Consider the following 24,690-nt stretch of genomic DNA (forward strand, 5'->3'; position numbering starts at 1 on the left):
GTCAAACTGTGTCACAACCATAAAGTTATTTTAACTGAGTTTATTTGCCTAGGCATTTCCTTTCTCTTGTAGTAGTGTAAGAGAAAGGAAAACAACCATTTAAAATGTAAGTACAGTTGAGTGGATATAAGGGACTCTTCCAGCTCCTATCGTAAGCAGACAATTCGATGATAAGTATGTGGGCTTTTTAAGCTTTAAAAAATATTCATAAATCCCTTTTTGGATTCTTTCATTTCAATTTTCTTCAAGCAATGAGAATTAGACAAGTTTATAAATTCTCATTTCTACCTTTCTTGGGCCAGTCCTGATTACTCTTATCATGGTTAATACTGGTTCACATGGGGGACTTCCACAAATTCTTTAATATACTGTGTATCTGGTGTAAAAAAAATTATGTAAAATACAATAATTGATGCTATTAATGTATTTGGTGAGATAATCTAATAGATTTCCTTGAAGTAACTCTAATAAATTTTTCTTCCTTAGTAAAAACAACCCCTTGGTCTTAGATTCTGCTCTTGTACAGTCATCCGTACAGTGGCCAGGGCTTAAGCTCTGGTACTGTATGAGTATGCAAACAAGCAGATTTCACAATCAGATGACACTGAGACTTAGGCTTACTGTGCCAGACTCTCTTTGGTGACTGTTCTCTCATCTTGGGCCAGCCTAGGGATCTGAGAACCTGCTGTAGTTAGAAAGAAGTCACCTGACCTCGAAGTTTCCCTCCTGTCTTTTCTCAATCGTTCCAGCTCTCACACTCAAGAGTCAGAGCTCTCCACCACTGTCCTGGCCAGAGCAGCACCCCCCAAAGGTCTGCATGTACCTCTGGCAAGATAAATGCATATAGAAGACAATGCATTTTTAGTCCCTATAGACTTTCTATAACGTCTACGTTTCCAGAATCTCATGTGTGCCTTAAAAACCCTTTTCTTCTACATTTAAAAGGACAGTTTGATTATATAATAATACCTGGATTTATGCATTAATCCACTGACAGCAGAGCCCGTTAATAGACATTTTTCCACTTGCTCCTCATAACAAACCTTTGAAGGGGGGAGCAATTATTATGAGGATGATTTTATAGATGAGTAAATTGAATCTCAGAAATTTTAACTGACTTTTTCCCACATCACCTCGTGTTAGAATCTGGATCTGATTCCTGACTCCAGAAACTATTTGTCTCTAGATTCTATCTGTGCTCTCTTCATCACCTTGGGTGTACAAATCTAAGTGAGCAAACAAAAGCCAAAATAGGATTTTTAACTATTTAACAGAGTATGGTGGTGTCAGTATGAAATCTTGTTCATCTGGTTTAGTGGACATAACTGTGCCTGGGCAGAAGAGAGAAGGAGGAGAGAAGAACAAAGGCAAGGTCAAGAGCAACTACACTGAAATTGGGAGAAAAAGCAAGTTAGATATAAGGAAGAGGACCTGGTATGTAACAGGTATTAATGGGATCAGTGACATCCATCATTTGTGAATGGAACAGGTTTTATTTTGCTTGGAAGGTTTTTTAAATTTTTATTTTTTCATGAAAACTCAACAAATTTACATGCCAATCTCCCCCCATATTTACTCTCATCTCCCAATTTCTCTGAACATAAAATTCAAATGGATTCTACAAATGAACAGACAGCTGTATACTAAATAACTCACATAAGTACTTTTTTGTTGACATTTTGTCCTGTCCCAATTAATGTTTCTTTCAGGATTTGAGGTTAGGTATTCAATTAAAAATACCATTCTTTTCTTGGTCATAAGAATGTACTTGGAGCATTTATACTAAGGCGAATTTAGAGATCAGATACATAATGTGGTACATTCTGTAATATACATGCCTTATGCTACAGAAACTTGAAATTGGGCCTCAATTGCCTATATTTCTGGGCTGTTTTCATTGCTACTTTAATATTATCTATCTTATACACACACATACACACACAAACACACACACACCCCAACCACCACCACCACCACACAACTTCACACTTTTCTGGTATTTTTATTTGCTGAAGTAAAGGTAAATTTAAAAAGCAAATTAAAAATGTCAACAAAGTTTTCATAACATCTTAAAATTACCTAACTTTCTACTTTTAAAACTGAAATACCAACTCTGGATGACTAGAAATTGAATCGGAAATGCCCCCCAGTCTTTAGGTTGGCACTAGGGAAAGACCTATAACAAGTTGCCTGATTTTCCTAAGAATACATTGAGAGAGGGTTTGCAGTTCTCGCCAGCTGGAGGAGTCTTCCTGGTATTGATTGATTATCACAGTATTCACCTTGGAATGATATAGATATACTGGATATTATGAAGCTTGGAATTTTAAAAAAATTACCATTTTGTAATTTTGTTCACATTCCAACTGACAGAAGACACAAGAGATACTTCAATTTTCTAAGAGAATGAAAAAAAAATCTTGCCCATTCTTCTGAAATTTAAGTAGGCAGCCCTTGAAAGATCACTGGGAAAAGTCTGTATTTTCTCAGGTTTAACTAAATAATTTATGCATACTTTCACTTTGGCATGATGAAGCAATTTTAGCCTTTAAAACCCACAACTACTCAGGAGGGAAAAGGTCTGGTTCCTGCAACTTAAATAATTTAAACATCCAGGTGGAAATGCTTTCAGCAGTTTCCCTTTTTGAGACAAAGGACGAAGACCAGAATTTTGAGATACCAAGAATAAAGAATTGATAAAAGACGTAAGCTCGGATGTATTTAATTTAGAATGGGAATCTTGCAATATTTTTTGAATGATAGAGACCAGAGTGAGGTGTGAGGTGAAACGTCTGCTTGCCTGCTGTTTATAATAAATGAACACATAGAAAATAACATGTCAGTATAGCCCTAAGCCACACATATATGTATTACATATATAAACATAGCATACACAAATAGAAATATCTATAAAGCTACTATAACCCCATAACCCACGTCAGCCCAAGCTTTAAGCATTAGGTAGCTACTGGAGATCTTAGAGGAAGCTGTGTTAAGAAATATTGTGCTTTAATCCCTGGCTTCTTGGGTTATATAAATGTGTATATCTTTTGATATACAACTAAGGAGAGTAAGATAAATGAAAATGGAACAAAATGTCACTTCTGTAGGACACGGGGCTGCAAAAAGGACAGAAGGAACTACTAAAATACTAGAGGAGATTTTGATATGTAGGTACCCAGCACAATCAGCCCTCTCAGTCCATGGCCTCTTAGCCTGAAGTCAGATTTCAGAACTGCCATGGGGAAATTTACCTTCTCACTTGCAGGTCTGTAATGATATACTTGTAAAGGAGTGTGGGACTTGGAACACTGCCCGTGTAAATTTAGAGCACAGCTTATAATCAGAAAGTTTTGAGGGTTAAAAAATTTCCTGCTGTCTTATCAACATACTAAAAAAATGCATAGGGCACTTTGTGTTGTAATTTCTTGTGGGAGAGAAAAACACTTCACAACTCATAAAGCACTGGTCGTTATTATTTCTAAAAAATCTTTGTCACATCCATATCTGATGCTCATGTAAAGATGACAATCAGCTAAGGTACGAAATAAGGTAACAGAGCTAAAGAGAATTGGTTTCCTTTAGAGTTAAGCATAACCAAAATTATACAGGAAGGGTAAAAAGAGATCTTGCTACGTATGTATTCTTTAAAATGAGTGCAGGCTTCATTCTCTCATAGAGGAAAACAGGCTCGTAGATTTTAACACTCCGAAACTTTTGGCCCTGTGCATCATAGGCATGCAACATACTGGGTCCCGTAAGGAGAGATCCTGAAGAAAATATGAAGAAAGGTTACCCTCCGAGCCAACAGGAAAGGTTAAGGTTGGCCAGGGCTGCATAAGACAGGGTTGCTGAAACCCAAAGGTCACATCCTGAACAAGGTTGCTATGTTATGATGATTTCATTCTGAATGCAATTCTGGCTTTGTTTTTGTTGTGGTGCTGTGGGTGAGGGCCACCCAAGTGACGTAGGTTAGAGATGTGGACTGGGGAAGAGTGATTAAACCATGGACACGTCAGTGTTGTTAAGGGATTTAAGAAATATTATTCTTGATCTATGTAAAGAGCTTGAACATCAACGGCTAAGGTATACAATGTGAAGTGAGGCCTAGAAAGAGACTGATATGGGGTGGGTGGTTGTTCTTTCATTTTCTTTTCTTTCTCTCTCTCTCTATTTATTTATTTATTTTTTGGTCATCCATTGACTTTAATTAAGCCCAGCCAGCCTTATAAGCATGGGAAACTTGGAGAACTTTTTTGTTTAAAGTGACCTTGTTCCCAGGATTTGCCCTACAACTTCTCTCAGCTCCACTGCAAGGATGAATATTCACATTGCTGCTCTGAATCTTAGAACGGGGCACCTGGCGTAAAAAAGAAAATTTCAATCTCATCTTAAGTGTAACACTGAGAGCACTGTTTTTTTTTAAGGAAAAAGAAACCTTTCTCCATAATCCTGCTGGTTATACTTCTTAACTGTATTATTTTAAGTCAATTAATTCAAATTTAAAAATAATGAAATTACTAGCAGAGACTCTAAACTTCTTTTAGTATATTAAATTGGGCAGATTGCTTCTCTCCTTCTAATTATGAATGTTGCAGTTACAAAAGAAACTGTCATTTTGATAGAGCAAAAGACAATCTGTCTGCCAAAAATGTCCAACCATAATTCTAAAAAAAAGTCATCGGCATCAAGAACATGCTACTTTGTTTGATGTACTGTCTTATTGGAAACCTGATTTGCTTTCAACCTCTGAGACAACACATAACATAAGTTTGTGTGACTAATTTTTCTTGGAAATATGAGTAATTAGAATTAGGGGCCATTTTCATAGCGGGAGTGGACAGGTTTTCAAAAAATTCAAAGTAAGTGCTATAGTTATTTTCTTTTCTTTTTCTTTTTTTTTTTTATCACACTCCTAAAACCAAGTAGAAGGGGAATGCTGGGCTTTGTACTGGATAATGTGAGTCCCCATGTAAATTGTGAGCGATTGCAAAGTACGGAAAGGTTTATTACCTAAGGTGAGCCCTCCCAGAGCTCCCGGAGTATAAAAGCATTAAGCGCATGTTCTAACAAACTCATAAAAATCAATAAACAGGAACCCCCCACCTGTGCAATGGCCCCAGTGTTAAGTTTTATACGTGTAGTAATAGTGCATATCAATTTTCACCACCCTTCCTACGCTAGCTATTACAGGGCCTACCACCACCGGAGGGACAGCGAGAGCCGCACCATTCATCCATCCCACAGAGTTGTCTACATGCCAGGCCCATTGCATCATTGTCAGTTTTATTCTATCTGCAACTGGACAAGGCTGCAGCCCTAGCTTCTATACACCCACTCAGTACCGCAACAATTGCAACTGTGTGCCTCTGTTTAAAGAGTTTACAAGTCCTTCTGAAAGAAAAACAGAACCGTTGCATATTAATGCCCCCAGGCCCTGGACGATCACACAATGGAAAGAGGAAAGACATGTCACTTCCATCGATATGTGACCTTGTCCAACTGCTGCAGTCTGTGGCTTCTCCACCAAGGTTTAAAAAATAATAATGCATTCTTGATAAGCATCTGGATGACCAGGTTTCTACAGCAACTAGTTATAATCAGAGTGCTCCTTAACAGCCAAAAGATTCGGAGAGCGCAGATCACCGTTTTATTACACACGTGGTAACATATGCTAAAAATTAGGCCTGAAATATGCAGCATTTTCACCAGGTTACAGAAATAACTACTAACATCACACTTATTTCATAATTAAAGGAAATCCTCCACCCACCTCCCCATTTTTACCAATAAAAGCAGAAAATATCACTGAATATGTAACCTTTGTACCACAGCCACTCTTTGCCATCCTTTCCTCTGTACAGGGTAAGGAGGGGGGACAGGCTTATTAAAATCCCAGCACTTGTTAGTAAAGAGGTGCAATAACTTTGGGAGGAATACTTCACTTGAGGCATTCTGGGAAAAAAGAAGAATAAAAGAAAAAAAAGAAGCCTCGTTTTAATTATAATCCAAATATAACTGCTCTGGAGTAATGAGGAGCATTTGAGAAGACAGCCTTCATTCAGACACGGAACTTGGGTGATGTTTTTCTTCCTTTTAAATGGTTCTGTTGGTTATACAGTTTTAACATGCCTGAAAAACAAAAGAAGGCCCTTGGTGATGACTCCGCTTCTCCCCTCCCCAGCAAAAACAAAACAAAAACAAAACAAAAAACAAAAGAAAACAAAAAACCAGGAGTTTTATCCATCTGAGGTTGCCTTTGATAGCACTCACAGCACGGAAGTGCCACTCACGGGTACTTAGAGCTGCGTCATTTAGGAGCATAAAAATAGAATAAAGTTGTGCAGCAAATGAGAAATTATGATATAACTCAAGTGCTATGGCATGAAACCGGCAAAATGAGCCATCTAAACATTTTTCAGAACCAAAAAATTAAAGAAAATGGAAACTGCAACTCTAGCATGATTTCTGTGAAGGTGTGTTTGAAGTCTTACTAACTTCAATGCCCTCCATGAGAATAGTTGCTATGGATATTATGAGAAAATTAGACATTTCTAGCACTGCAAAGAAAGTGAAGCAGTGCAGTTGTGAACAGCTGGCATACAATAGATAATTTAAGGGAAAGTGGCCCTCATGTATAATTTTTAACTGAAGAACTGTCAGGCCCCATTAGTTCCAACAGGGCCTGCCAGGACCAAGATCAGTTTATAGGAGTATTGTATTAGCACAGTTTCTGAAAGAGCAGTGTGAAAACATAATATGGGGATTTGGTAAATTCAGCATTTTAAAAAATTGTACACATTATTTGTTATACTGACACCATTGCTCTCTGCTTATGGGTTCTGAATGCAAACCCCAATAGGGTAGCAACTGCCACGGTAAACAATTTGTGAAAAAGCCCTTCTGAGCAGTTGGACTATGGTCAGAAGTAACCCCCAAAGTTAAAAGGGCAAAGCAAATGGTGGCTATCGTACGCCGTGGTGCTGAATGCTTCTGACTCAAAGGCCTTGAAAGAAATAGGGCAAAGGACAGAAAAACTATATAATATAAACTCAGTCAACCGAAGTTCTTGTTAGAAGTATGGAAATTTTTGGACAGCCTGTGAAGGATGTAACGAGATCTAATTGGGAATATAACATGTATGTTTCAAAACTAATAGCCAAAGCAAATCATAAGAAAAAAAAAGAAAAGAGGTTACCTATTCTCCGTCACATTGGCTATTTAAGCAAATATTGAAGCTTTCTTGGCACCTGGTTATCTCATTTAAACACATGGTGAAATAAAATAATATACACGTGACATGCCATAGTTTCAAATAGCACCATCTTTATTGAAAACATGGGCTGGGTGCAGTGGCTCACACTTGTAATCCCAGCACTTTGGGAGGCTGAGGTGGGAGAATCACTTGAGCCCAGGAATTCAAGACCAGTTTGGGTGACATAGTGAGACCCCGTCTCTACAAAAAATAAAAAAAAAAATTATCTGGGCATGGTGGTGCATGCCTGTGGTCCAAGCTACTTGGGAGGCTAATGCAGGAGGATGGTTTGAGCCTGTGAGGTCAAGGCTGCAGTGAACCATGATTGTGCCACTGCACTCCAGCCTGGGTGCCAGAGTGAGACCCTGTCTCAAAAAACAAAAAACAAAAAACAAAAAACAAAAAAAGAAAGACAGAGAGAGAAAGAAAGAAAGAGCAAGCGAGAGAGAGAGAAAAGAAAGAAAGAAAAGAAAAAGTAAAAGAAAAATGGATTCATGGTACAGGAAAGAGTGGATACTGAGGCTCAGGGAAGGCTTCATGGGGAAAGAGGTCATGGAGGTAATATGGAGCTAATATGTATACAAAACACTTACTTAGTCTAGAACCTTGTAGCTCGATAAATGGCTGTGTTTAGCATCTGGTGGAACACATTGTCCTTAATTTTACTGTGTGATATTGTGCAGTTTAAAATCATGTTTGCCTTACCTCTCTATCCTTAGGGAGAGCTGCTTGATATTGTCTTGTTGGTATTCCTTGGCGTAAATGTTTTGAGGAAATTTCAGACACTTATATCCCAAATTAATGGGATTCTTGGCATCCTCTCTCCCTTTTAATGTTGCACTGATGTGGAATTAATCTCTCTATTTAGGTGGTTTGTCTTTGCTACAAATATTAAATAATCAAGTCAACATCTTTATATATTTAAATCTACCATTTGGTTATTTAGAAAGGCAACTATTCAATTCCATAATTACAGCCACTTAAATCAAAGTCTACTAATTAGATAACATAGCTGGGCTTTACAGGTATTATAGAATATTCTTTACCAGACACTATATTACAAGCAATCATTAGCTCAGCTATAAAAGGGTTTAAATACTAATGGTTTTTTTTAATTTGTTTTATAACCTAAACAAGCAATCAATGTACATTAATAAGCATAATTGTTTTTTTGGCATCTGTCCATTCATTTGGTCCACCTTGACAGCTCTAGCAAATGTGTCAGCAAAACTCAGTACACACAGTACACAAGTAGGAATCACCAGTGACATCTTCTCAAATACATATTATGCATTAAATTATTTTGATATTGAAAGATTAAAACCTCTGCAGTGTCCATGAAATCCCTTTTACATACATTCCAGACAAAGACTGTGACAGGTACTTCTACCTCAAACATGACATCGAAGTGGCCATAAAACAAGCCTTAATGAGGCGATAAATGTGTTTACCTTTGATTAGGTGAGCTTCTTGATAAGATAACATGGAGAAGCACTTTCCAAGAGTAAATATGTACAGAAATTGCTGGCCACTACTGTTCTGTTGAGATTCCACATGCAACAGAAACACCTCACTTGTCCAACTCACCTTTCCGCCAGCTAATTTGGCTTTGGCAATGGAAAGAGTAGCTCGTATAAGAAATCTTTACCCCGTTTGTAGACCCCAACAGTTCTCAGAAAACCCTTTCCTGGATTCTAAACTCTGTGCTATTATACAACTCAATCATAACTCTTTATATGTTGTAGTGTAACTGTTTTCTTATTTGTCTGTTCCTCAGTAAACTATGAGCACTGAGATTTTACTTCCCTCATGTTTGTCTCCTCCAAAGCTAGGATGGTGCCTGGTCCATGGTGGACAGTAACTGGTCTGTTTTGAATGCATGAATTTTCATCGTAGTTTTTGTGATTGTGTTTATGAAGACACTGGAGCAACAATGTTCTGCAATTCTAGAGATCTTGATGTGGTGGCAGCCTTGTATCCAGTCCTATGTATGTACATTTTGATATCTTACTGCCTTTTGCCAAATAGGGCAATAAACACCCCCCAAGAGCGCTATCCAATCATATACTCTGTATTTGTTTCAGGTGAGCTTCCTGCAGGGCAACTTTGGCATATTCTCAGCAAACACAGAGTTGTTGGATTTCACATAAGGAGACTGTTATCATTTGGTCCTTGACAACTTTCATAAACAGTCACTCTTAGCTTAACAAGCAAGTGTGTAACAGTTAAAATTGGAAGAAAAATAAGGCCAAAATGGCAGCTTACTACACAACTTGCATGCATTCTAAAATAAAGGAAATATGAATAAAAGGTAACTTATTCAGTGTCACTCGTACATATTTATAGTTTAAAAATTAGTCAAAGTTTATGTCCTGAGGTTGTACCTACAGGAAGCCAGATGTGCCTTCTGCACGTGACCTAAGACAGGCCTAGAGCAACTACTAGATAATTTCTCGCTCATCCTCTACACCGTCGATTGCGGCGGCTTTCTGAGGTGAGAGAAACTGACAGCACTAACTCTCCAGGGCAGAACTTTCCAGTCAAGTGGATCAACGGACTGAAAATCTCTTATGAATAGTCATTAGGCCTTCACTACAAACCCCTCAAAACCCAGTTCTCTTTTCGCAACCAAATGCCTTTTGTCATCTTCACAAGGTGCATCATTTAATTACCAATTGATTTCTTTATATATGACAACATGTCAGATAGCAAAATACAGTGTATCTCCCTTAGGGGGGAAAAGTCTGTTAACTATCACTATGCCAGATTATGGAATTATCTGAAAAATAGGCATCGTGCATACTGTTTCTTCATTTTCACTACTTTTTCTAACGTCAGAGTTTCTTTTTGTTGAGAAAAGCCAATAAAAGAAAAAGAAGAAAAAAGCTAATGAGAATCATGATGGAGTCCTCCCATACCCTGAAACACTTTTCAAATTAGTGAGAACACATTTTAAGCTTTCTTTATATGAAAAACGAATACTCAACAACATATAGGGAATATAGAGTGAATTCCAAAATGCAACTATATAGAGAACTACCATGGCCCATCTTTCTACATAAAAAAATGTCAAACAATTGTTCTCATTATACCAAGAATTTACTCAGCTTCTGACTTAGCTAATGCACTGAATCTTCCGCTGTGCAACTGCAGCCTGATAATCAAGTCAGTACTGTATTAATAAGCTGAATAATAAGGGAATTTCAAAAATGTACAGGACTATTATACCGTAACAATAAAACCTCAAACGGAGTAAACCAGGGCAGTGCTGAAGGTAGGCGTCAGAAAATAATGAAACCAGTGTTGCAGCAATGCACTCCATTGTGTGGTAGTGTAAATGCCTGCTTCTTTCATACACAGAAGCCACATTACATGAGTCCGAAATGTTCTCAGAGCGTCACTGTGACTGGTTGTGCTAGAACCTGGCACCGACAGGCACTGAAAGCTGACATTATGCTGTAGGATGTGCTGCAGGTGTGCAGGCCTGGGAACGTGCTCTAATTACATATTTTCCTGCCGCGCAACAATTAAGGTCGCCAAAATAATTGCCAGTTTCTTAATCCCTCCCTAACAAGACTGACATAAGGAATGGTTTATTTTTCTCTGGTTGTTTTGAAAGTGTTCCTCAAGATTTTGGTTTTCTATGGAACTGCATAAAACTAATTCTTATGTTCAGATGTGTGATTATACCCATTGTTAAATAAAAAAAAAAAGGCCTGTCTTTGAATTGTGGTAAAACTAAAATAATTTTTAAAATGTGAATTGTATAACCTGGTAGGTGGTTTAAACATTTTTCCTCTTAAAGAAGGTAAATTTTGCCTTTAAAACCCTACGTTTCTACTCTCTGAACTGCTCAAATCATGTGGAATGTTAAAATGGGCTGGGAAAAAAAGCAGACCACATGAAAACATAGACCAAATAGGTGTCTTCACTTATAGCAATGATTCTTCACCTTTTTGGAGGCGGATAGTGGGGAGACATAGAGCCTTTTAAGAATCTGCTTAAACGTATGGACCCACTGCCCAGGAAAAAAATGCATCAATATACTAAATGTTACATACAATTTCTGGTGGTTTGCAGAGTCTTTAAAAAATCCATTAATGAATTCCAGGGAAAGAATCCCAGTCAACTAATAAATATTGCAATTATTGACACACTCTCCTTCATTCATCCACTTCTGCATTCTCTGAGCCATCTGACCACCATATGAAGCATACAGTATCTACCACAGGCATCAGGAACCAAGTTTGTGGGATTTATATTCACAACTAAAACCCATTTCTTTCATTATTATTAGTTGTCAATTTCCCACTTTGGTTGTGCTAATTGGGCAGAGCTGAATCACTCAGAGAATTCTGAGCCAGCTTACTCAGTCTTGCCCCCTTTCCTACAAATCAGAAGATAGCAATGCGTGCTGATTGAGTACTTAGCAGACAAACTGAAGTTATGTCAAGCGCATTACGATTTAACACAGGCTGAATGGTAGGGGCAGCAGATGTAACTAATGGGGTTAGGGAGAGAAGAAACTGGAGCAGTGAGAGAGGGGATGGAAGGGAAACAAAAGTGATTGTATCGGTAATAGAGACTTCAAAGGGGAGTAGTTTGGAAGATCTGGGTTGGGGGGATCTGGCAAATGGAAAAAGAGGCACATCTGCCTATAGAGTAACTGATAGAGGAGACAGGAAGAGCCTGCCGGGAGAGAAAGCAGAGTGGGAAATCAAAGGCAAGAAAATGTATAGCTGCAGAAGAAGGGAAGCTCGATTCCATTTATAGAGGTAATGACACAAGGCCTCCTACAGTTGGAACTGTCCCAAATTGGCCTGTTTTGAGTGTCCCATCCATGACTTGTTGCTAAGTTGGACACAAAAAGCAAACTTTAATAATTTGATAAAACCATTTCATCTTGATGTTTGAAAAATCCTTTCATTACAAGAATAGTGGGTGATTTAAATATTACCTGTTCCTCTTTCCAGTTTTTCTTATGTGTCTGATGCTTAAGGACAATGTTTGGTCAAAAAACTGAGGTCTCATGATAGACAACTCAAATGTGAGTTTTATGGATACAAGTAAGGAACAGGCATGCCATTTCCTTTTTTTAGGAGATGCTTTGATTCTTGAAGGGGTGGACAGTCGAATTCCAACGATGGAGTTAGCACATGTGTGTGTGCATGTGTGTGTACATGCACACACATGTTTGCGTGTATTACAGTACAACAGGGGGTGAGGACAGAAGGGCAAAGACCAAATTCTTAAAGTGGCTTTGAGGCATGCAGGGGTCAGAAATGGGCTGTGCTGCTAAAACTCAGAGCATATTCTGGGATGCTGTTTCTACCACCAGTGGCTCATTCCTGTTCATTATTCACATGCTACATGCCACTCAGGTGTTTTTTTAAGGCCAGCTCAAGCATGTCCTTTCTGACCTGTTCAGGGAGGGAAACTCTTAGTTCCTCCTTGTACATATATCAAATCGAGGACTTACCTTGATCATCCCTCAATTCATTCTATCAGTCACTCAACAAACATTTCTTGAATACTCACAATGTGTCACACTCTTACCCTTGCCAAGCAGTTCTTTCTGACACTAATCTGTAAGGCTCTGTGAGGACTCACTTTTGAACCTTTGGTGCTGGCACATGGTAAGTAGCTAATATTTGTCAAATACAATAAATGAATTGAGTGACTATAAAATAGCTTCCCAAACAAATCAAAGGCAGGCTTATAGTAAAATGTTTCAAAATAGTTGTAAGGTTTTTTAAAAATGATTTTTCTATACAGAAGTACACTTATTAGTAAAATAAATTTTTAAAACATTGCAGTTCAGTTCTTGGTTTAGTCACAATCATAGTACTACTGGTAGCTTTCTCCTGGTCACGGCCAATTCACCAACTAACACACTGCCTTCGTAGAGCACGCAAAGATGTATCCAGCTTCATTTTTGACTGATATAAATACCATCAGCCAGTACTGAGCATTGCACACACTGATCTGAGTGCTACAGACTCCCAATTAGTCACTATTCATACAATTCTACACCTAGCCCATAACAGGCTTTTTTTCCCTTAACCCAATTTCCTTGACCTGTGTTTTCCTTCTAACCAGAGTTCAGAGACAAAGGCAGAGCAGTAAATCATTTTCTTAGAAAAACACCATCAGGCTGCTTTAGTCCTTTGGGCTGTTATTTATATGCTGTACCTGAAAAAGTTATTTTGGGATAGTGTAGCTCACTAAATTATATTTTCCTCATTATCATTATTACTTCAAAATGATCATTAATTTGCTCTTTGGCTTTCTAAGAGGGAAAACATCAAAGAAACAAGAGTTCCCCCTAATTTAACTTTTCTTGAAAGGTAACTGATTTACAAACAAATTACTTGTGCCTTTTAAGGAAGAGCCAAGTGCATCTGCTCATTTGATACATTTTCAAGGGTTACAGTGTGGAAATGAAGCTCTAAGAAGCTCCTGTGTGATCCACAAACAACTTCACGCTGTATTACACGTGCATCAGATACAGAGACCAAACCCTCTGAGTTGCAAGCAACCTGTGATGCAGAATGCTTGCTTGGCAGTGCCTGAAACAGCTTATTTAAATTGCAAACTTTGCAGTCACCACTTACAGGTGATTTTGAAAGTTCATTATATAAACTAAACAGCTTAATCTCCATACTTTGTTTTTAAAATCATACATATATTATCTCTGAAAGATGCTATTTAATCTCTCTCTCTCAAAAACTCATCAACTCTGTTAAGAAATTGCCTTAGAGAGTAAAAATGTATTTAAAACACGCATGAATCTTAAACAAATGTTTCAACTTGAGGGCAAATAATGTTAGAGACACAGGTAGGAATTGCCAGGATGAAGTTTGCCTTGAATAGAGATCACATGAGAAAAAATTTGAAGTCATAACTTTATAGTACAAGATGATCAAAGCCAAGTATTAATACTTTTTTATCAGCTCACCTTCTAAACAATATTTCAGTAGATTTCCTTTCACACAGTGATATTTGTAATAAATGTTCTGCCTTTGTTTTAAAGTCAGTCTGTAGAAAGATGACATCAGCTTAGCAAACAATAAAGTGCCTGTAATATTGTCTCCAGAGGGCTGTTACATTTACTTTGTAGCAGTAAAATTCAATTTTCAAAAAACACTACATGAATGATGTTAGGTTATTAACCCTATCACCACCGTAAAACATCATTATTGTGTGCAGAATGTAGGTCACTATCTAGAAGCCATAAGTTGCTTTTTTGTTAAATAATCCACTTAAGCTTCTTTTCTTTCCTAGAGCCTGGGTTGTGTCCCTTCTTTTGGGAAAAAAATATTCCAGCATCTAGTCAGCAGACTGGAACAAGACCCCTACACTTTTCATTCTAAGGCTCTCTTTCTTTGTTGCCATTCAGTTATGTACCCCAGTTCTGAAGTAACCCTTTGCATTTACTTATTACCAAAGCCTGTTGTTCTTCAATGAAAAATTAGTATATCATCATGTTTTTTCAAGTGGCAGAGTCATAACTCTCACATGTTTCGGTTCTAGGACAAAAAGAAAATAAGGATGTGTCTCATTGCAAAGCCTGAATCACTCTCACATTTGAAGACCTTGAACACAAATGCTTTATTTCTGGACCTTAATATGTTTCACTTGCTATGCCTGCATAACAGCGGTAGTTACCTGATATAAGTGATTAAAATCCTTCCTGTTTAGAAAGAAGAAGAATATTTAGCGACAGGACATCAGCATGCAAAGAGTTAACTAGTTAAACTTCTACAAACCCCCAGAGTAACTTTCCAAAAGCTGACAATAAGTAAAAGAAGTGCTGGTTATCCATTTTTTAAAGGGATGGGATTGGTTTTAGAAGAAAGGGAAAGAGGATCAAACACCTCAATGCAACAAAAGGTTGTGTCAGAGGGCCCTCAATCACAAACCTCCTTCAACAACAGATATTCCAACCTTCCAGAGCAGTTACCCAGGCAGCACAGCTAAAAAGTTCCATGACATGAAAAGAACAAAAACCTAAGGGACAGAGGTAGTTATTGTCATGCACACTCTTCTCTCTCTCTCTCTTTCTTTTTTTTTTTTGGCTTGGGTTTTTCCCTCCCCCACAAAACTTTTGCATAAGCTGTTAGAGAAAAGTAATGGTGTGGCTTTCTAAAAAGAAATCCCCTATTTGTAAGCCACCTCCTAGGTAGTGAGGTAGCCCAGTGGACTTTCTGTAAGAAACACCTGGTAAGTGGAGAGATCATTTACACGAATATTTCAAAAGAGACATCTAAAATTAATAAGCACAATTACAGCCCTGTAAATGTGGTCAACATTCCCTTGAAATCACTTGTGTTTTTTTTTTTTAATTGATGTTATTTTCTTTTCAGACAAATTTTCTTCAGTGCACAGTGGATATATGTTATTTGCATTTTCTGTGTTGGGTCTTAGAGGTATCTTAACAGCTTGTATGAATTTTCCACCAAAACGTAAATTATTAACAAGTCAGAGTTTTCATTTGTTTTATCTCCTGATGTGAGATCTAAATAAGTATGTAGAACACTTAAAATTCTTGCCATTTCTCTGCTTTCTGAAAAATAAATCTCATGCATACTGCACAATATATGTTCTTATGCATAACATGTTTCCATTTAATGGGAAAAAAAAACTAATTTCAGGAGGAATACTGTATGTTTCCTGGACACTTCGTTTTATAAGCAGAGTATTAACCCAAAGAAGCATTTGGTCATGTTTTCTTCATCATCATCATCATCATCATCATCATCATATCATCATCATTCTTATCATAATGTTCTTTATAATCATCCTCAAAAAGCATTTAAAGTCTTCATCTTTACCTGGTTTGATATTAGGTATCTTCGATTAACTTTGCCCTGATTTCTAAGACATAAACTACTGTTAGAACCAGATTTTTAAAACCCAGTTATGTGGTCCTCAAAATTTACATGCAAGGATAATATGGCATACAGCATGATGGTGATTGAAGCGGGGTGTGATTGGGGAGTCCTATGAGATATGATAATAATACTAATAGCAAACATGTTAACAGTGCTTACTGTGTGCCAGCAGTGCTCTAAATAAATGATCTTATTACTCATCACAACAATCCATTTTACAGATGAGGAAGCTGAGGTGAAGTGCTGTCAGGTAACTGCCCAATGTCATAGGTAGCAAGTGGTGGAAATGGAAGTTTTGAACCTGGGCGTGCTCACAAAGAGGACACTTTGCTACATCAGAAAGGAAGCACGGATGGACTACCGAAAGAAAGTGTCAGAATCTGCCCTTGAGTGGTGTGTACCAGGAACATGTATACCATGAGAAGAGTTTCTGAAGAAGTGTGAGAACGATAAAAAAAGAAGTACCAGAAGAGCTTACCTCCAAAAAGAAAGAAAAAAAGATTGGAACAATTAGGAGGTAGCTGGATGAAGAGGTGACATGTATGAAGTGAACATTAGAAGCCAGTCCAGAGAGCAGCTGGCAGTCTCAATGGAGCTCAGAGAGAATGAATGGACCAAAAACATAGACAAGAGAAAAAAAAATTTGTCAGTGTTATTAAATAAAGTAAGCTGGAATTTGATATGTGAATGTGGTGGGAGAGGGGAAAGAAGGCTGCAAAGTCCCCATGGGCCAAGGCCAAAGCCTAGACTAAGACCACAACTATGAGAATGGAAAGGAAAGGGGTGGATTCAGGAAACATTGGCAAAGAAAAAGTAGCAACGGTTGGTAACAGACTGGTTGTGGGGAGTGAGAAAGACAGCAGTGAGACAAAAATAACCATGGGGTTCCTGGTTGGGAGGTCCACGATAGGGTGGTATTTCCCACTGCAATGGAAAACTAGGCAGATAGGGAAAATGAGTAGTTTTATGTCATGGTATTGAATTTGCCAAAGCCAGTGTCATTAAGTTTTGAGGTCTCTTGTGGGAAGAGTGCTATGTGGTCCTAAAACGTGGCTGGCTTAACTGGTGCATACCTTGATTCTTTTTTTGGTAGAGACAGGGTCCCACTATGTTGCTCAGGCTGGTCTTAAATTCTTGGGCTCAAGCCATCCTACCACCCTGGCCTCCCAAAGTGCTGGGATTGCAGGCATGTACAATAGAGGTCAGTAGTCTAGTAGCTGAAATAGCAAGCAAGAGGCTGTCAGGTGTGCAGGAATCTGATGAGGCGGCATGGATAAGGGACTGCTAGAGAACAGGATGTGCACATGAGGAATGCCAAGAAGATGATCTAGAAGCAGAGGTGTAGGGTTGTTACAGAGGTGCAGGGAAATTGAACATGTAGCGTGGAGGAGAGTGAAGTGGCCGAAGAAAATACTTCAGGCTAAGTCATGGTGAATGCCTCACACCCAGGCTTTATCTACTTTGGGTATAACAGCAGACCAATTCATGGTTTAAATTCAAGGCAAGGACATTTTCTTTAAAAAATAAGATGTACGTATGCAAAGTAATGTAGCATCAGTCTTTCGCTTTCTGGGGTCAATTATTTGTCTAATGATTCATCCGGTTTTCTCAAGTACTGTTTCTAGGAGAGCAGAGTTTATAGAGAATTTAAAGAAAGTTTTCTCCAGTGTCTAATCCTGGGTCATCGTTTGCAAATACACAGGCTCATTAATTGGCCTTGTCCGGGCAGTCCTGAGCAGCGCCCCTCCTGAAGACAGCACTGAGGAAAGAAGGGTATTATTTCAGCTGGGAGAGGAGCAGAGCCCTGGGATGAGACTGATTGATTCAGACCAGATGGATGGCCTCACATAGGTGTGACAAAAATAGTAACACATTGCAGACATTCCAGGAACTGTCCTCTTCTCCTGGCCTGGAGGTGGGTCGCCTGTGTTGTCTCCTTATCTACCTCTTATGTGCTTCCGAATCAAAGAATGTCAATGATGCTAACTCTTTTCCATGTTAGCACCTGGTCACAAGGCATCAGACTTGAAGTTCCATTAAAAAAGTCTAATGACCATTGCCCAAGTTTCCCTGTAGGTAAAGCCAAAGCAAATCATTTTGCCTACTGCCTAAATATGTTGTTATTGTTTCAATTTCCTCTTGCACATGAAGAGTTCTAAGGTGTCAGAAACTGATCTCTGCTACCCTAGAAGAGAAGGGTACATTAATAAATGATACCAGTGTTGTAATCATTGATTATAACTTAATTCACGGGTCTTAAAAGAGTACTACGTAATAACTGAGGATTCTGATCTGGTTATAGGCACTTTAACCCTAAATTGTCTGAGCCTGAGGACTCTCTATTAAAAAGAGATAGGACCTTACATTAGATCATCACCATCCATAACCATGACCATTCATTCATTACCCTCGTTATTATTTGATGTTTAAGATTTCTTTTTGAGTATTTCGGTTCTCATTTCAATACATTAGTAAATTTTGACTTTATAAACTAAGGTAAGGGTTTATTAACTTGATAACATTGGAAGAAAGAAATATAACATTTTTATTTATTACAAGAATTACTTTCTTACTTGAAAGGAAACTCAACAAGCATGGGAAATTTTCTGTCATTCAAAGCTGAAGTGCAGAAATTATGCACAAATTTGAATGTTTATCAAAATTAAAGGAAACTCCAAAAGCTTTTTGTAAGATAATATAAAACCTAGAGAAATGGTGAGCATTTAATAACAACCCAGTGACATTTCAACAAGTATGGGAGAGGCTTTGTCATAATAAAAGTATGGTTTTCTCACTCTCTACCTCAAATGTCCTGCCCTGTTTTGTCCCAGCATGAAGTTTTAGTTTATGCGTTCTCACATAGGCCTGAAACTGTTATCTACTTGTTATAAACCATCTCAGATTTCACTGCTGTGGGTTAATCTGTAGGTTCTGATTGACATCCTTGACTGTCTCTCACACTCACTATGCAGCTCACATGTAACTGCCACCTGAAGGGCAAGGTTGACTATTGTTTTCACTTTGATCTCTATTCGCAACTAAAAAAGTAATTCCTTAGATATAATTGTGAACCTATTACACATGGAAGAAATTATTATTCAAGTTTAAAAGCCATATATATACATATACATATGTGCGTGTATATATATATGTATGTATATATGTCATTTTTCTTTCCACAATATTGCTGGCACATTGCTGTCAGGACACCCATCTGGAATTAAGATTCCACAGCAGACTTTTCTCATAGAAGTATTTATTCATTATTGCATGTCATAATTCCTAGAAGTAATGTACTACTGATAGCTCTTGAATTTGCTCTGCCAGTAGACTGCCTCCTTAAAAAAAATTATTCCTGTGCAGGTGGAGATTAGCATATGAAAAATGCTTTTAATTTGTCCACTCTTGGACTTACCTATCTGTCAAACCCATACATGTGACAGCTGTTGGATTCAACTTATCTCTACCACCTCAGTAGCAGGTTTTAAATAGTCCAGGGGCTGTTAATTATTTGTAAGCTGAGTTTATTTAACTCGCTTTCTCAAAAACAAACCAAATAAAATAAATAGACACCAAACTGTTGGTTCCGTTTCTGAATATCAGAAACAAAGATGATCATGTCCAAGGATCTGTAAAAACCTACTTCCTTCTGACATAAGGAAATAAAACAGCCAGTGCAAACTGTTTCTTGATATCTACTTCTCGAGATCTGGTGGTTCTTTCAGTGTGGAACTTAGTTTACTTACTGCTCCTGTGTACTAATATTTTACACTGGCTATTTTTTCTACTACTTATCTTTTTTTTTTCTTGCGAAATTTAACCTGCCTAATTTTGTAGTTCTCATTTGCGCCATTTGATTTCTGCAAACCACAGCACCAAAGGCTTCAGGGAATTAATCGAAATGAGATGCCCCAATGGTGGTATGGCTGTGGATCTATTATGGCTTCATGCTTCACTAAATGACAGGATTCCCACAGGGCAGTACCTATCATGAAGTGGGCCTCAAGGGGTTAACATGGGCTGAGTCTCAAAATAGACTTGAAGCTCAGCACACCTACTCACTTAAAAAGAATGAGCAGTAAATATGTGCATGCAAATTCAATTTCAAAGGACACTTAAGTGATGGTGGAAAGGTAGAATGCTCTTTCTCATCATTCAAACTAGAAGATCAGGAACACTGGGCACCTTGCACTCTTCAAAGGGACTAGCTGAGGGCAGCACCTGAAACAACTTTTCCCTACCACCTACAGCCATGAGATTGGAACAGGAAGAAACTTCTCATAGGAAAATAAACTAGCTCAGGCTTCTCACAAATTAGCTTACTTCTCTATATTTTTATTGTTTCACTAAGTTCCTGGGTGTTCAGCTTTTGCAATTCAGAAGATGCTCCCAAAGTTCTACAATTTTATGTACTGAAAATAAACATTCCTTACTATGTTAATCAGATGCCCTAATGAATGGGCAGGCATGGGGGTTCCATGTTTCATGTATCACTTGCTGATTTCGCACTGCCTTGACATCATCAAAATCCTCCTGTTTTGAACAGTGAGTGGACAACAGCCAAATGCAACTTTCAAACTTAATCTATTCTGATCATTTAAAAACATTCATGGGGCAATGAAACAAAATTTATATATTATCTATTATCTCAAATAAATATTGTTCTTAATAATAAACTGTCTGGTAGATGTATGAAACCTGTTCACTCTCCTATTGATGTTTTACTGGCAATAAGAGCTGAGGCCCTACCCTATTTTAAATTTAACTCTATGAAAATGGGCACTACCCAAGAAAATGCTAGCACAATTCCAGATAAAATATAATGTTGTGAGGCTGAAAAGTGCATGCAAAGCAAGCTGCATTATTAGAATGTTTAAATATTAATTATACCACTGTATAGTAAAGATGATCAAGTATGAGTGTCAACTAATTTTCTAAAAGCTGCAACATTTACTTTCATCTAAACTTCCTTTGTTAAAAGTAAAACTAAAAGCCCAGCAAGTTTAGTCTACTTGAGTGTGTTTATTTTTATTGGTTTCTGCATAATTTTTTTTCTACCATAAACCAACTTTAACCCCTTTACTGTAATCTCTGCCAGTATAACTCCAACAGCACATCATAAAATTCCTATAATTCTTCAAAGCCACGAAGTTGGAAAGGAAAAGCTTGGGTACTTTGTAACAAACACCAGCTATAAGCTTCAGCCAGTTACATTTAACTCTTACAAACCCTCTTTTTGTGTGTGTGGATAAACTTACAGATTGATGCTCTATGGTCACTTTCATTTCCATTGTAAGTATTCTTCAGCTACTTTTGAGTTTGAAGCCTGCTCCATTTCGTGTGAATACCGTGGTGGAGGTAGCACCTAGCTCTAATAGCTCAGGATGCTGGGCTGACAGATGGGGAGACAGATGTACAGAACCATGTAAAATGAGAGAGACTTATTACCTTACAAGGAAGCCTTTGCTGATGGAGATGAGGAGGCCTGAAAAGTGGGCATTTCCAATAATCTCTGGTGATGAAGGGGTTAAGCGGAATCACTGTCACTTTCCCTGTCTCTTTTCCTAGAATCTATTGCTTTTTTTTAATGCTTAAAACAACTACTAGAATCAGGCAGGAACATTCTTAGGTAGAGACAAAGGAAGAGCATGTGTGTGAAGGAGACGCTCGGGTTTCATCCCGTCACCCATGGATGCCCAGCCAGGGTTTCCCACCTGAGACAGATTGCGACACATGTTCGGCTCACTCATGCACAAGAAGCAATACACAAGTTCAGTGTAAAGCCACTTTAAAAGCTCATCGGGTGCATACTTTACTTGTACAAAATACCTTATTCATGACGGAGCAGTGAGGGCCTAGGTAATTACTTGAATCAAGGTGGCCTCAGAAGTGTTTAAATCTACAAGGACACTTAGAGCATGAATAATGCAAAATAATTTGCATCTAAATTTTTTAAGTGTTCTTTATTCAAAAACTAAAATGCAGTTCCGATTAAAGTTTGATGAGTGAAAGCTGAGCACTTCGTACCCACTGTGAAATGTCTCTTATGTGGAAATTATTTCAGACAGTGGTGAAGGGACAAAAGAGTTGTATATGTGTGTGTATGCGTGTGTGTTAAAATCTAAATTGTGATTAAGTTGCACTTCTAAGCCTAACTTTCTTTAGGTTTTGTGGTGGCTACCAAGTTAATTCCTGAGCTTGCTTATCAGGTACAAGTCCAAATTTCAATCCAGCCCTTTAGGAAACACAATGAAAACACTTTCTTAGGTCCAGTAATTTGCCAAACAAAATAGCATTTGTATTCAACGCCAATGCAATGAAACTTTCTTTTTCTCTCACCTACATTTTTAAATTCAAATTATTCTTTCTTTGAAATCATTAGATGCAAAATATCTATGCTCTCTGTTACTGCTAAAGCTTAGAACACTCTATTTCATTTCCTTGATATTATATTTATACTCCTGTGTGAATATACATTATCTACTATGTCACTGGGAAATCTTTAGTGTAAAGCTAAGAAGTATCAATATGTTAGCCCATGTTTTTATGAAAACAAGATTGAAAAGCTAAAAATCAATTGAAGAACCCAAAGGCAACTTTGCTACAGTAACGTATAAAAATGTTTATCATTACCTTTGAATAACTTTTCTTCATCTGGTTTTCTAAAGTAAAACATATTAAAGATTATTCCAAATGAGTGCTACAATAAAATCAAACGTCATTTCCAACTTATACGTGTTTTTGTCAGGGATTGAAAAACAAAGTAAATCATAGTTTAAAAATAATTTTTACTTTTCTTTTGCTAAATTTTTATGATCTATTACCACTTGGGCTGCATTACCATTCCTGGAATTTCACAATGCTTGCATTTCATTTGAACTTGTGAGTATTTGAGAAACCACAATTCAAGAAACTGCCATTGTTTCCCCGGATTCTTTTGCCATGTGTTAAGAGAGTGCTCCTGGCCCTTCTCTTCTACCTGAGATACCAGTAAAGCTCAATTAGAAACTAGGCCTTTCTTGTCTAGTTCACAGGCACCCCTCACGGCTGTGTGGAGGTGGCCTGCTGGAATGCAGGGAGAAAAGGCTGTGCGGGTCCTGCCAGGCTAGCAATAGGCTTGACCTTGCAAGTGAATTTTCAAGGTAGGCCACACTGCAATCCGCAGCACCTAAACTTTAAAGGCCCTTGCAAAGGGAAATTATTCTCCTGCTGTAGCCCTTATAAAGACTCCCAATTTATGGCATGCTCCAAAGCAGGCTTCTGCTTTATTGGAATTTTAGATGAGTGTGTTTGCCATACTCTTAGTGAGTGTGTATGCTACTTTTTTTTGGGGGGGGGGGCGGGGGGTGGACTTTGAACAATGAAAACATTTTTAAACTCATTGAACAAAGATTTCCCCAGCAACAGACCCCCTGCTCAGCAGGTCACCTATCTTTGCGACAGTTTTTCTTTTCCCACGCTAACCCCAGGGCTCATTTGCATAAGGTCTCTGTTGTGACAATTAGTTTCAGGTGAGCTGATTTCTATGCAGCTTGCCCAAGACGATGCACAAGCCCCGGGCCTCCCTGATCCTGGTCCTAATTGCGACTGACTGGCACCAGACACAATCATCCTCTTGATTCAGCAAATTGTCCTGCTAGTAGCTTGTTGTGACCCCGCAAAGCACAAATCATATCATGTCAGTCCAGTCTAGTAAACAACGAATAAAATACACTCTGAATGAGCATGATAATATCTTTTCCGTATTTTAGGCATAGTTGACTAAATAAATGCAAATGAAAGCAATAGTCTTTTATTTGATTTGATTTCTGCTTGGGAGTGATATTATGGCTCCCCATAAAAACTTTTTAGAAAATAGGACGGCCCCCATATTTAAATTCCATGGTTCCATAGCCCCATCACCTGGGAGAAATTCCCCAGGTAAAATAACTGGCTCCTTTCAAATTTCTCTTAGCTTTGTTGTTGTGGAAATAAGTAATATGCTCTTTCATCATCTGTGAAGCTACAGGGTACATCAATATGCACATTAGCAGGGTTCCCAGTAGTCCCTACTAGACAGAAAAGCATTTGGAGCCAATGAAATTTCACATCTCTGCATAGCAACCCAAGTTAGGAAAGAACTTTTCTTAACTCTAGGAAGCAAGTGGGAAACAAAGATGAGTGACTTAGCATTACAAGAATGTTTAAGGACAATTGTTCTTAAAATGTTGCTTGGCCCTACTCTGTTTGCAATTCTTAACTTAGCTCTATTACGCTATAAGTGGCAGCTCCCTTATAAATTCTTTCTGCCCTGATAGGAATGCTGTCTGCCATCCTGTCACCTTACTTAGCCACCTACCTGTCATCTCTATTTTCTCTCTATACTAAAAGTTAAAAAAAAAAAAAAGAAAAAAAAGGACAAGGCTAATAAATGTTCCCAAAGCTATTTGGCTAGTTTCCCTACTCATATAAAATAGGCAATGTCACTACTGTGATAGTTTGTTTCTTTTTTTAAAGGTGATTGCATGTAAGCATCTGCTTTCACGATATGAAAGATACAGT

General features: G+C 38.0%; 1 protein-coding gene across 2 annotated transcripts in view, besides 1 other annotated feature; it reads right to left on the reverse strand.

Annotated features, from left to right (window-relative positions):
• The window catches only part of ZEB2 (zinc finger E-box binding homeobox 2), a 136,039-nt gene that overhangs the window by 72,125 nt on the left and 39,224 nt on the right, over positions 1 to 24,690 (reverse strand). The gene's annotated exons all lie outside the window — the stretch shown is intronic.
• Positions 22,772 to 23,484: an enhancer, noted in NCBI's record as "NANOG-H3K27ac hESC enhancer chr2:145236544-145237256 (GRCh37/hg19 assembly coordinates)". NCBI's record gives its function as "activates a minimal SCP1, AML or CMV promoter by ChIP-STARR-seq in naive H9 embryonic stem cells {active_cell/tissue: H9 hESC(naive)}" and the evidence as "EXISTENCE:reporter gene assay evidence [ECO:0000049][PMID:30033119]".

This window comes from Homo sapiens, chromosome 2 (assembly GCF_000001405.40).
Source record: "Homo sapiens chromosome 2, GRCh38.p14 Primary Assembly".
NCBI classification, from domain to species: domain Eukaryota; kingdom Metazoa; phylum Chordata; class Mammalia; order Primates; family Hominidae; genus Homo; species Homo sapiens.